This window comes from Homo sapiens, chromosome 1 (assembly GCF_000001405.40).
Source record: "Homo sapiens chromosome 1, GRCh38.p14 Primary Assembly".
Taxonomy (NCBI): domain Eukaryota; kingdom Metazoa; phylum Chordata; class Mammalia; order Primates; family Hominidae; genus Homo; species Homo sapiens.
In genome coordinates this window covers 39540029-39553835 of record NC_000001.11, presented here as the reverse complement: position 1 = coordinate 39553835, position 13807 = coordinate 39540029, and the positions used below count along the sequence as shown (strand labels likewise).

The following is a 13807-nucleotide window of genomic DNA, read 5'->3' as shown; positions in this document are numbered from 1 at the left end:
ACAGCTCACTGCTGCCTCAAACTCCTGGGCTCAAATGATCCTGCTACCTCAGCCTCCCAAGTAGCTAGGACTATAGGTGCACATCACCATGTCTGCCTAATTTTTAAAATTTTTATAGAGATGGGGGTCTCACTATATTGCTCAGGCTCGTCTTCAACTCCTAGCCTCAAGTCATCCTCCCACCTCAGTTCTCCAAAGCACTGAGATTACATGTGAGCTACTGCACCCAGCCCACCACCCCAAAGACCCTATTTCTAAATAAAGTCCGATTCTGAGGTTTAGGCAGACATGAATTTTGGGCGACACTATTCATCCCACTATAGTGGCTTGGTAGTGGCTTTTGCAGAGAAACAGGAAGTTCTGGTTGAAGTATGGCCCACCAGGCCCGGCTCAAAGTTCCCCTCCTGTATTCAGAGTATAGAAGACAGGTCTTGGAGAGGCCTGAGCCCTCCGGCCTGGCATTGCTCATTCCTGTTTTATTGTGTGTATTCTCTCCCTCCATCAACTGGGCACCCATCTGTATACCACCAGCTCTAACAGGCAGTACACACTCTTAGTAAAACACAGTCTAGGCAAGTAGGAGGGGAGATTGTGTCTTTTTTTGTGTGCTTGTGCTACTGAGTTTTTATTTGAACACTGTAAGAAGAGTTGAACTATGGGCATGAACTTTTTCCTTGTTTATTTTTGGCAGGATGTTGCAGCAGCTGTCAACAACATGGTATGGCTGAGCATCTTTGTTTTTTACTGAAGCTGTTATTTGGTGCTACTTTTTGGTATAGGGAACACCCATGTACCTATTGTGTTTCCAATTTCCATAGTTTCAAAGTTCTGTAGCAAGCACAGGTCATCGTTATTTGAAATAATTCACCATGAACTAGCTACCAATAAAATTAATTTTTTTTTTTTTTTTTTTTCTGAGACTGAGTCTGCTCTATTACCCAGGCTGGAGCGCAGTGATGCAATCTCAGCTCACTGCAACCTCTGCCTTCCCAGTTCACGTGATACTCCTACCTCAGCCTCCTGAATAGCTGGGATTACAGGCACCCGCCACCACACCCAGCTAATTTTTGTATTTTTAGTAGAGACGGGGTTTTACCATGTTGGCCAGTCTGGTCTTGAACTCCTGACCTCAAGTGACCCGCCTGCCTTGGCCTCCCAAAGTGCTGGGATTACAAGTGTGAGCCACCACACCCATCCTAAAATTAATTCTTAACCAGACATCCTTCTCATTTCACATTTGTTAAATACCAACCACGTTTGTTGGCCAATCTCTTGACCATTTTGCAGGGGCCAGCAAACTACAGCCTGTGGGCCAAATCATTCCACAGTCTGATTTTGGTCTTTTTTTGAGATACAGTCTCGCTGTATTACCCAGGCTGGAGTGGAATGCACGATCTCGACTCACTACAACCTTCACCTCCTGGGCTCAAGCAATCCTCTCACCTCTGCCTCCCGAGTAGCTGGGACTACAGGTGTGTGCTACCATGCCCAGCTAATTTTAGTATTTTTTTGTAGAGACGGGGTTTTGCTGTGTTGCCCAGGCTGGTCTTGAACTCCTGAGCTCAAGCGATCTACCACCTTAGGCTTCCAAAGTGCCACAGTCTGTTTTTTGTATCCTTTGAGCTAAATAATTGCTATCTTTTAAAGGGTGTGGGGGAAAAAAACCCAATATGCAGGAGAGGCTGTATGTGGCCTACAAAACCAAAAATATTTTACTATCTAGCCTTTTTCAGAAAATTTGCTAATCCCTAGGCTAGGACAGTGTACTGCAAATAAAATGTAACCTGATTGCAAAGTTTGTTTGTTTGTTTATTTATTTATTTATTTATTTTTGACAGTCTCACTCTGTTGCCCAGGCTGGAGTGCATTGGCGCAATCTTGGCTCACTGCAGCCTCTGCCTTTTGGGTTCAAGTGATTTTCCTGCCTCAGCCACCCAAGTAGCTGGGATTACAGGCGCACACCACTATGCCCAGCTAATTTTTGTCTTTTTAGTAGAGACAGGGTTTCACCATGTTGGCCAGGCTGGTCTTGAACTCTTGATTTCAAGTGGTCTGCCCGCCTCAGCCTCCCAAAGTGCCGGGATTACAGGCATGAGCCACCACGCCCAGCCTGCAGGGTCAATTTGTGAATCTTATGTAAGAGCAGTGTTTCATGTAGTATATGAAAGTGATTATGGAGAACTGCTGTGATTAGCTGTAGTCAAAAACAGCCATTGAAGAGTTAGGCTCTCTTAAACCAATTAACACCTGAAGAAGAGAAAATCTGCAAGGATTATGACAAATTGAGTGCTTCAAAAGAAAATGATTTGAGGCAGAGTGTGGTGGCTCACATTTATAATCCCAGCACTTTGGGAGATGGAGGCAGGAGGATCACTTGAAGCCAGGAGTTCAAGACCCAACCTGGGCAATAGTGAGGCCCTGTTTCTACAAAATAATAATTTTTTTTTTTTTTTTGAGACAGAGTCTTGCTTTGTTGCCCAGGCTGGAGTGCAGTGGCACAATCTCGGCTTGCTGCAGCCTCTGCCTCCTGGGTTCCAGTGATTCCCCTGCCTCAACCTCCTGGGTAGCTGGGATTACAGGCGCATGCCACCATACCTGGCTAATTTTTGTATTTTTAGTAGAGACGGGCTTTTGCCATGTTGGCCAGGCTGCTCTCGAACTCTTGACCTCAGGTGATCTGCCAGCCTCAGCCTCCCAAAGTGCTGGGATTATAGGTGTGAGCCACTGTGCCTGGCCAAATAATAATAATTTTTAAAAAAGAAAATGATTTTAATTCTTATTGCCACTGTAACAAATTACTACAAATTTAGTGGCTTAAAACAACACAAATTTATCTTACAATTTTAGAGGTCAGAAACCCAAAAGGGGTCTCACTGGGCTAAAATCAAGGTGTTGCCAGGGCTCTGTTGCTTCTGGGGGCTCCAAGGAGAATCTGTTTCCTTGCCTTTCCCAGCTTCTAGAGGCTACCCACATTATTTGGCTCTTGGCCCCTTCCACTTCAAAACCAGCAATGGCGTCTCAAATCTTTCTCACACTGCATCACTTTGAAACTCTCTACTTCTCTTTTCCATATTTAGATGACTCTTGTGATTACATTGGGTCCATCTGAATAATCCCAGATAATAATTTTATTTTAAGGTTAACTAGCAACCTTACATCTGCAACCTTACATCTGCAACCTTAATTCTTTCCTGTCATATAACATAACATAGTCACAGGTTCTGAGAAATAGGCTGTGGACATCTTTGGAGAGCCATTCTGCCTACCACAAAACCCTTAAATGCCCCCTGCCCCCTGCTTTTTATTTTTGTGATTGATATTCATGACTAAATATGAAACAAGGATGTCATTTAATGCTAGCATTCCATTTTTTTTTTAATTACTGGGAATAAAATTAGTACCTGATCCATCTTTTTTCTAAGAACAAAGGACATACCTGTAATTATAACCTCAGTCTTACTAAATTAAGGAATCTTTTTTTCATATAACTTTTAGTTCTCATGAAAAGGCCCAAAACAAACTTCTCTCGAAGTATCAGTTGTTCTTGGCTAATGAAATATTCCTACACTTCATTCCATGTTCTTTGTTACGCCTTCATCAAACATGCCCCTCAACAGTCAACAATACCATTTTTCTCCAGTTGAAAGCTGATCTTGACTTTCTAAGGTGGACTCAAGTACTTGGTAACTGCATTTACCCTTATAGTTTCAGAGAGTCCTGAGCTCAAATCCAAAGATCTTGCCAGCACAGACCTTCCTGTTTGTTGGTATTAAAGAAAGGAAGTGCATGGTGGCTCAAGGGCATTCTAGTGGTTAGTTTTGTGCTTAGCCTGCTTATGGGGTGCAGGCTCCCAGGCTTGGAATCACAAGCAGGTCTCAGCCTCCTGGGAAGTAAATGGAAGACTGTCAGGTATTCTTTTAACCCAACAGGTTTAAGCAGCTGAGTTGTATTTCAGTCTTTTCAGAATGAATCTGAGCTCTTTGGGTGGACAATTTCTGTCAATTTGGCCAAACCAATGAGAGTTAAGGAAGGCTTTTCCAGACCAGGTGAGTGGGAGCAACTCACAGATTCCCTGTCATGTCCACAACTCCACAACTTTGGCCTTGTGGCCTTGGCTGCTTTTTTTTTTTTTGGAGATAGAGTCTCATTCTGTCGCCCAGGCTGGAGTGCAGTGGTGTGATCACAGCTCACTGCAGTCTCTGCCTTCCAGGTTCAAGCAAGTCTTATGCCTCAGCCTCCCAAGTAGCTGGGATTACAGGCATGTGCCACCATGCCTGGCTAATTTTTGTATTTTTAGTAGAGATGGGGTTTCACCATGTTGGCCAGACTGGTCTCGAATACTGGCCTCAAATGACCCACCCACCTTGACCTCCCAAAGTGTTGAGGTTATAGGCATAAGCCACTGCGCTTGGCCCTTGGCTGCATTTTTATCCCAGCCTTACTTCCTCTTGTAGTGATGGTATGAACACAAGTAGAGTGGTTTATAGTGCAGAAGAGAATGTAGCACCTCCATGGAAATAACCACTTTGAGATTCTTAGCAAAGCTGGAGGTACGGCCCCAGTCTATGTCCAAAAGTCTAGCTTTTGGACATAGACGTAGACTATGCCATATCAGCCTTGGCACAGGCTGGGACATTCCTTTTGGCTTGACTTAGTTCCTCCTCCTTATTCTCATTCACTTCTGTTAAGAGCTGGACTTAGGGCCTGACACTTACCAGTGACAACTTTTCTTGTCTTGGAGAGTTCCTAAGAGGGAACTTCTGACTGAAACCCTACATATTGAGTCCACTTCGCTGACCAAAGCAGTGAAGAACTGGACATAGCTAATTAGCTATTGGCTCATGGCTTGAATTTCTTAACATTCGTTTGATTCCTTCCTTTCAGTTTGGTCAGATGAAGACTGGGTGGAGAAGTTTGCTGGGAAGAGGATAAAGAGGAAGGTGGTTGAGACTTCCCAAAGCAGAAAGCCAGGAGGTAAGAATGACAGTTCATGCTTCCATAGGAGAGGCTGCTGCTTTCCACATAGGGAATTTCTGAGGTGAGTGGTGTTGGGTGAATTTAAAGGAGAAGTTTTGGCTTTCTTATCTAGGTGAGAAATATCTTATGTGGGCTCAGGTATTTGTGATTGCTGCTGAGCAAGGCGGATATCTGAGGTGAGAAAGGATGGTGAGTACTCTGCATCACCAGCATCCGCTATCCTCCTAGTCTTTGGCAGCAGGCTCACTGTCTTCCTGTTCTTGCCCTAATTCCAAGGGGGCAGAATCATGTAGAGGTCCCTTCCCCTCAGTCAGTACACAGGCACAAGGCTCTCCCTGCCCTCTCCACTTGCTCCTGCTTCTCCATCAGGCCATCCTGACTGTTGCTTCCCAGGATAATTTAAGGGCTCCTCCTCCTCAGTCCACCCTTTGAGCAGTGATATTTCCCTGAATTCCTTCCTTAGCCCTCAGCACCTCTCTCCACATTATCCTTATGCCATGTCAGCCCCTTCTATCTCCTAAGGTTATAACGATCTTTCATTGTCCGAATGATATTCTGATCTCTATCCCTAGCCCTGACCTTTCACATATTTCTGTTTGGGTGTCTTATAGGCACCATAAATAAAGCATATCCCAAATGGGTTTCATCACCTTTCTGGTCTTTTTTTATGCCCAATCTTAGTTCACTTTGCCATCTTCAACATAGTCACACCCAAACCAGATTCCTTGGTGCCAGCTTAGATCCCTCACTGTATTTCATACCTAATGCATTACCATACCCTGCTAATTTTATCTTTTAAATCTTGCGTTTCTCCTCTCCAGTTTTCTTCTGCCACTGTTGTCTTGGCTGAGGCCTTATCCTCTCTCCTGTGAATAATTGGAGTAGCTTCCTAACTGGTCTCCCTGCCCCAGGCCTGTTTTCCTCCTATCCTTAGCAGCCAGAGGGAGCTTTCTAAAGGGCAGATCTGACTATCTCACTCTCCTTAAGCATTCTAGGGACTCCCTTGATTTATAGGATTGAGTCCAGCCTCCATCAAAAGGGACAGAAGACCTCTCTATGTTCTGATTCCTGCTTATGTCTCCATATTTTATCTCCATTTTATATTCTAGGAAACAAGAGTTTGTAGATACCTGTAAATCTCTGTTTTGATGTAAGTCATTCCTCTGCCTGCAGTGTCCTTTTCCAATTTATTTTATGTGGCTAATGCCTGCTCATTTCTCATAGCGCAGCCCATTTACTGCCTTCTCCAGGAAGCTTTTCTGAATCCTCCAGTGAGTAAGGCAAGTATCACTCTGGGCTCCCATGGCCTCTGGGTTCCTGTGGCACCCTCTGTCCTGGCATTATATTGAAATGTGATTATATAGAAATGTGACTGCATTATATTGAAATTACTTATTTAACACATGTCTAAATATTGCTTACTCTATGCTAGGCACTGTTCTAAGTGCTCTACTAATATTTAACCCTAATAACAATTATTTGAGATAAGTACTATTATTATCCCCAGTTCTAGGTGAGGAAGCTGGGGCACAGTGAAGTCAGTACTTTGTTCAGCGTTACACAGTTCATAATGGTGGAGCTGAGGTCTGAACTAAGGCTGTAGAGCTCCAGGATCTGTGTGCCTTTTACACTGTGGGTATCCCTCCCCCGCTGGCTAGCCAGTTCCTCAAGGGCAGGGGCCATATCTATCTAACTGCCTATCTATTTATTTTTTATTTTTTGATTCAGGGTCTTGCTCTGTTGCCCAGGCTGGAGTGCAGTGGTACCATCACAGCTCACTGCAGCTTTGACCTTCCAGGCTCAAGTGGTCTTCCTGCCCCAGCCTCCCAAGTAGCTGGAACTACAGGCACACCACCATAACCAGCTACATTTTTCATTTTTTATTTTGTAGAGACAGGGTCGCACTGTGTTGCCCAGATTGATCTCAGAACTCCTGGGCTCAAGCAGTCCTCTTGCCTTGGCCTCCCAAAGTGCTGGGATTACAGTGTGAGACACCCCACCCAACTATATCTATTTAAGAATCCCAGTACTTGGCCTGATAGCTCAATACCTGTATGTTGAACTATTAATCCAAAAAAACAATAGAGTTGGCCGGACGTGGTGGCTCACGCCTGTAATCCCAGCATTTTGTCAGGCCAAGGCGGGCAGATCACGAGGTCAGGAGTTCGAGACCAGCCTGACCAACGTGGTGAAACCTGTCTCTACTAAAAATACAAAAGTTAGCCGGGCATGGTGGCACGTGCCTTTAATCCCAGCTACTCAGGAGGCTGAGGCAGGAGAATTGCTTGAACCCAGGAGGCGGAGGTTGCAGTGAGTTGAGATCGCGCTACTGCACTCCAGTCTGGGCGACAGAGCAAGACTCCCTTTCCAAAAACAAGCAAATGAAAAAATAGAGTTTTCTCTATCACACAAATGGGAAGGTTTGTATTGAATGTTATATTTATCCTCTATCCAGTCTTGTCTTGGAGCACAAAGCAAAAAGGCCCAGCATCCTCCACTATCTTCTGAAAACTTGCCCTCAGGCCTGAGCAAGAGGGCTGCCCGGTTGCTTCCATGTAGCCAGCCAGCATATGTGCAGGGCCAAGTCTAGAGGGAGGAGGGGGTGGCACATGGATGGTTTCGTTTAATTGGAAGACAGTGGGTAGATTGGAGCTGGCATTTGAAGATGTTGAGAGTTGTGGATCATGGGCAAGAAAAGCGCTGTTCTGGGACTGCGGGGCAGGAGAAGGAAACTGATGCTTCTGAGGGTGAGTCTGATGAGATAACATGCCTGTGTGTGGGCCTCAGGTTAGACAGTGCTGAGGTCTCCCGTCACTGGGCATCCAGCTGGGTGCTACGGCCGTGGCTCCTGCCTTCTGCAGCCCTGTCAGGGCCCAAGGCCTTCCTCATCAGCACTTGCTCCAGCCTACTCACTGGAGTTGTGTTCTGGGTGGGTGTGTAGAATACTCGCACTCCTACTTGGGGCATCAGGGAGCTCTCTAGCAATTTCTTCTGCACCTAGGGAGAGCCCACTGCTAAAAAAGGCCTAGTCAAATCCTCAGGTGTACATGGACATCAAGATTGGGAACAAGCCGGCTGGCTGCATCCAAACCCTCCTGCGTTCCGACGTCGTGCCCATGACCACAGGTGAGCGGGACACCATGGTCAGGACGGTGGGACACTGGTGGCTGAACAAGATGGGGAGGAAGCTACCTGGGGTCCTGGGCCCTTAACACTATTTCCATCTGAGGCGTCTCAGATCCCAGCATCTAGTAACAAATGAGGCACAGCAGGCATTTTTGAAGCTCTATAAAGGCTTAGAGCCATTAGAAAGGGTAGGCAACTAAAAGTTCTAAACAGTTTTAATTATCCTCTGGTTTGGTTTTATTGTTGGGTTTTTTTTTTTTTGTAATTTTATTTGGATATATTTTCAAACTTACAGATATATAGAATAAGAATTCTGTAAGAATATTTCAAGGGGCCAGGTGCAGTGGTTCACACCTGTAATCTCAGCACTTTGGGAGGCCATGGTGGGAGGATCACTTGAGTCCAGCAGTTTGAGATCAGCCTGGGCAACACAGCAAAAGACTCCATCTCTACAAAAAATACAAAGTTAGACGGGTATAGTGCGATGTGCCTATAGTTCCAGCTATTTGGGAGGCTGAGACAAGAGGATTGCTTGAGCCCAGGAGGTTGAGGCTGCAGTGAGCCATAATTGCACCACCACACTCCAGTCTGGGCAATAGAGCAAGGCCTTGTCTTAAAAAAAAAGAAAAAGAAAAAAGAAAAAAAGCAGTTAGGGGAACTCTCATATATCCTTTACCTACTCATTAATTTCCTTTTTTTGCCCTGTATGCTTTATCATTTTCTTTACATACATTACACACAGATGCGTATATGTATTTTTCCCCTGTTCCAGTCGAGAAGTTGAAGACCATGCACCTTTACTGCCAAATACTTCAGTATATATTTCCTAAGAACCAGAATATTCCCTTGCCTAATCAGAGTACAACTATCAAAATTATAAAATGTAACATTGAGTGATGAGCTATATTCAAATTTTATCACTTGTCCCAATATTGTCCTTTTTAGTAATTTTTAGCAATTTTTCTTCCCTGACAAGGATTCCCATGTTGATTTAGTTGTCAAGTCTCTTTAGTCTCCTTTTATTTGAAACCGTTTCTTAATTTTTCATTGTCTTTTTTGATCTTGACATCTTTGAAGAGAATAGGCCAGTTGTGTTTAAGGGTGCTCCTCAGTTTGTATTTGCCTAGTACTTCCTCATGATTAGATTGAGGTTATGTGTTTTGGCATCAATAGCACAGAAGCAGTGTGTTAGTGCATCGTTTGAGGAAGTACATGATGTTATTTCAGATATTTGCAATGTTAATTTTGTTGACTTGGTTAAGGAGTTATTTGCCAAGTGTCTTCACTGGAAAAAATGCTATTTTTTTTTTCTTTGAGACAGGATCTAGTTCTGTTGCCCAGGCTGGAGTGCGGTGATGTGATCACGGCTTACTGCAGCTTCAACCTTCCAGGCTCAAGTGATCCTCCCAGCTCAGCTTCCCAAGTAGCTGGGACCACAGGCATGCACCACCATGCCCAGCCAATTTTTTATTGTTTTTTGTACAGATGGAGGTTTCACTATGTTTCCCAGCTAATTTTTTTTTTTTTTTTTTTGAGACGGAGTCTTGCTCTGTTGCCCAGGCTGGAGTGCAGGGGCGCAATCTTGGCTCACTGCAAGCTCCGCCTCCCAGGTTTACGCCATTCTCCTGCCTCAGCCTCCCAATTAGCTGAGACTACAGGTGCCCACCACCACGCCCAGCTAATTTTTTTGTATTTTTAATAGAGACGGGGTTTCACCATGTTAGCCAGGATGGTCTCGATCTCCTGACCTTGTGATCTGCCCGTCTCGGCCTCCCAAAGTGCTGGGATTACAGGCATGAGCCACCGCACCCAGCCCTTTTGTATTTTTTTTTGTAGAGATGGTGGGTTTTGCCATGTTGTCCAGTCTGGTCTTGAACTGGACTCAAGTGATCCTCTTACCTCGGCCTCCCAAAATGCTGGGATTACAGACATGAGCGGCCGCACCCAGCCAGAAAAGTACTATTTTTAAGGGTATCAATCAGAAACTAAAACTTTCTCTCCTTACTATTCAGCCCATCTCCCAGAGGTAGCTACAATTGACAGTTGTGTTTTCCTTTTTTTCTTAAGTATTCATGATGACCTTTTTTTACCCATAATCTTTTTTGTCTTAATCTAGCTTTTAAAAATGTTTCTTAAAGTCATAATTGCACATAGTTTAAAGAAAATCGTTCTATAATAAAACATTCTTCTGCTCCCCCAACATAATTTTTCTGCCCTGCCAGAGGCAACATTCATTTCTTTTAACTATTTTAATTATTTGGGCTTTTATTGCTATGTCTCTGAAAAATATACTCATATTACTATTAGTAATCCCAGACTGGAGTACAATGGCATGATCTTGGCTCACTGCAACCTCCGCCTCCCGGGTTCAAGTGATTCTCCTGCTTCAGCCTCCCGAGTAGCTGGGATTACAGGCGCCCACCACCATGCCCAGCTGGTTTTTATATTTTTAGTAGAGACAGGGCTTCACCATGTTGGCCAGGCTGGTCTTGAACTCCTGACCTCAGGTGATCCACCCACCTCTGCCTCCCAAAGCGCTGAGATTACAGGTGTGAGCCACGGCGCCTGGCCTCCCTCCTCTGCTATCCATTTTAGATACCTCTCATCCTCACCTCAGCTGGTTCCTCTGCTAATCTAAATGGCTTATCAGGTGGGGTGACCTAGACCTTTGTCTGTGGGGATTTGAGCTCCTGGTCATTATATACCTTCTCAGGTCATCGCTGCCTAGCATAATTGGGTGGGGGAGTCCAAATGTTTATTCAGTTGTCCTAAGACCAGTTTATAGAAAGTCCATCTTTGACCCAGTGATTTAAGATGCCAAGCTTTATGAAATATTTAATTCCTTTATATATATATATATATATACACACGCACACACACACACACACACATATATATGCATATATACACACACATATACATACATACACATATATATACATTTTTGTATATGTGTGTGTGTGTGTGTGTGTATATATATATATATTTTTTTTTTTTTTGAGACGGAATTTCACTCTTGTTGCCCAGGCTGGAGTAAAATGGCATGATCTCAGCTTACTGCAACCTTTGCCTCCCGGGTTCAAGTGATTCTCCTGCTTCAGCCTCCCGAGTAGCTGGGATTACAGGCACATGCCACCATGCCGAGCTAATTTTCTGTATTTTTATTAGAGATAGGGTTTTACCACATTGGTCAGGCTGGTCTTGAACTCCTGACCTCAGGTGATCCACCCACCTCGGCCTCCCAAAGTGCTGGGATTACAGACCCGAGCCACCGCACCTGGCCTATGTATATATTTTAATAGAGATGAGGTCTTGCCGTGTTGCCCAGGCTGGTCTCCAACTCCTCTGCTCAGGCAATCCTCCTGCCTTGGCCTCCCCAAGTACTGAGATTACAGATGTGAGCCACCATGCCTAGCTGAAATACTGAATTTTCATACGTTTCTGGGTCTATTCGGGACTTTCTCTTCTTTTCACCTAGTCTGTTCTATCTATTTGTGTGCCACTTCCACACTTAAGCATTTAGTTTAAATAAAGGTACTATGTACTTTTTTAGATTTGGAGAGCTGGAGTTTGGGGGTGTGTGTGTATTTTATTTCAGAGACAGGGTCTCACTTTGTCACCTAGGAGTGTGCCACCATGCCTAGCTAGTTTCTGTATTTTTAGTAGAGATGGGGTTTTGCCATGTTGGCCAGGCTGGTCTCGAACTCCTGACCTCAGGTGATCCACCCACCTTGGCCTCCCAAAGTGCTGGGATTACAGGCATGAGCCACCGTGGCTGGGACCCAAATGATTATTTTTATTTTTGTAGAGATGGCATGTTACAGAGAGCTGGAGTTTTAATTATCTAGTTAGATATTCTTACCTCAGCACTTTTCTCTTTCTCAATCCCAGAGAATTTTCTCTACATGTGCACCCATTTAAAGGACTCGGCTTCAAGGGAAGCAGCTTCCACCGCATTATCCCCCAGTTCATTTGCCAGGGCAGTGATTTCACAAACCACGGTGGCACCAGGGGTAAGTCCATCTACAAGAAGAAATTTGATGATGAAAACTTTATCTTCAAACACACAGGACCAGGTAGGAACCACTCATCGTGTGGTGACAAGGGAGGCTGGGCGAGGGCAGCTGGCCGTGCAGGGTGGAAGGATGAGCCGTGGTTCTGGCTGAGAAACAGGGAATCTGGAGGAGACCCAGCTACCAGACACAGGAGAACCGTTCAGCCTTGCTAGGGTGGAGTTAGCTTTGGGCTTTGAAAAGCTTTTCTGTTTTTTATTTTGGGTTATTTCAGTTCCCATTTGTCTCCTTTCATTAAAAGAGGAAGAAGCATAGACGCCTGGGTCTGCTCCTACAGGGGTGTCTTGTTATTGTTTTTGTAACTTTTTATTTTATGTAATGTCAAGCTCACGGAAGAGTTACAAGAATAGTGCGATGAACCCCATACACCTTTGCTGGCATTTACTCAAGTTCACCAGTTGTTTATATTGGTGAACATCATTTCCTATTTATTCTCCTTCTGTGTATTTTTATAGACAGTGCGTATTTTTTTAGAGCCATTTGAAAGTAAGTTGGAGAGTTCATGTTCCTCTACCACTAAATACTTCAGCATGTATTTCATAAGAAACAGGGTATTTTTAATGTTACCAGGACATAGTTCTCAAAATCAGAAAACAAACACTGCTACAATACTATTCTCTCAACTGCAGTGCATATTCAGATTTCCTCATGTGACAGCACGTCATCCTTTTGGGGCTTTTCATGGTTGGCACGTGTCCTAGACTCATAGATGCGCTGCCCATCCACCCACACCACACTGCCCTGTTGCCTCACTCACATCTCACGCGCCGTCGCTGCATGCACTCTCCTTCCTCTTGCCAAGGATCCCGCTGCCTCTCTCGTGCTCCTTCTTACGTAGTGCAGAACTCTGTGTGCTAGAGAAAAGCACAGCCCTGAGCTATCTGGTCCCTCTTGAGTTGAGGAGCTCAGGTCTTAAGGGCACCTTGAGCAATGCCCAGTGGTCCTCCCAGATTGCTGGAGGTACTTGTCATCCATCGTCTGACTGGAAAACACGCCTTTTCTTCACTCCTCAGCCCTCCAGCATTGCTTCATACACTCTCCCTCTCAGCTGATGGTGTCGCTTATTTATAGAAACAATCAGAAGAGAACTATTTAGTCTTCCTGCAGCCAGATCTACTCCCCTGCCTGCATCATTCTCTCCTGCCTGGCCTGCTTGCCTTCCTGTGACAATGGTGGCCTCCCTCTTCTCCTACCTTTTGCCCCATGGTGTCTTCCCTCAGTCTCTTCCCTTGTCTCTTCCTCCTCCTAGTCTCTAAATTTTTGGAGGGACCCAGTGCTCACCATGGCTTTTCTGTATCTGTATTCACTCTTTACCTCAATAGTTCTCACCCTTTTACCCTAGCACCTGCCTCTTACAGCTCATGCTCTAGTGTGCTGAGATGGAAGTCACAGCTCTGCACCCTTCCAGTGAATGCCTAATTAAAAACACGGTATTGGCTGGGTGCAGTGGCTCACGCCTATAATCCCAGCACTTTGGGAGGCCGAGGTGGGAGGATTGCTTGAGCCCAGGAGTTTGAGACCAGCCTGGGCAACATGGCAAGACCCCATCTCTACAAAAAATACAAAAACCAGCCAGGCATCTTGGTGAACACCTATAGTCCCAGCTTCTCAGGAGGCTGAGGTAGGAGGAT

At 44.9% G+C, this 13807-nt stretch overlaps 1 pseudogene across 5 annotated transcripts in view; it reads left to right on the top strand.

Moving 5' to 3' along the window:
- The window catches only part of PPIEL (peptidylprolyl isomerase E like (pseudogene)), a 37419-nt pseudogene that overhangs the window by 5863 nt on the left and 17749 nt on the right, over positions 1–13807 (top strand). For all 5 annotated transcript variants that reach the window (NR_003929.2, NR_144355.1, NR_144354.1 and 2 more), the window contains 4 exons: positions 692–718; positions 4885–6257; positions 7979–8103; positions 11995–12116. The product of NR_003929.2 is annotated as a peptidylprolyl isomerase E like (pseudogene), transcript variant 1 (transcript). The remainder of the gene's footprint in view (positions 1–691; positions 719–4884; positions 6258–7978; positions 8104–11994; positions 12117–13807) is intronic.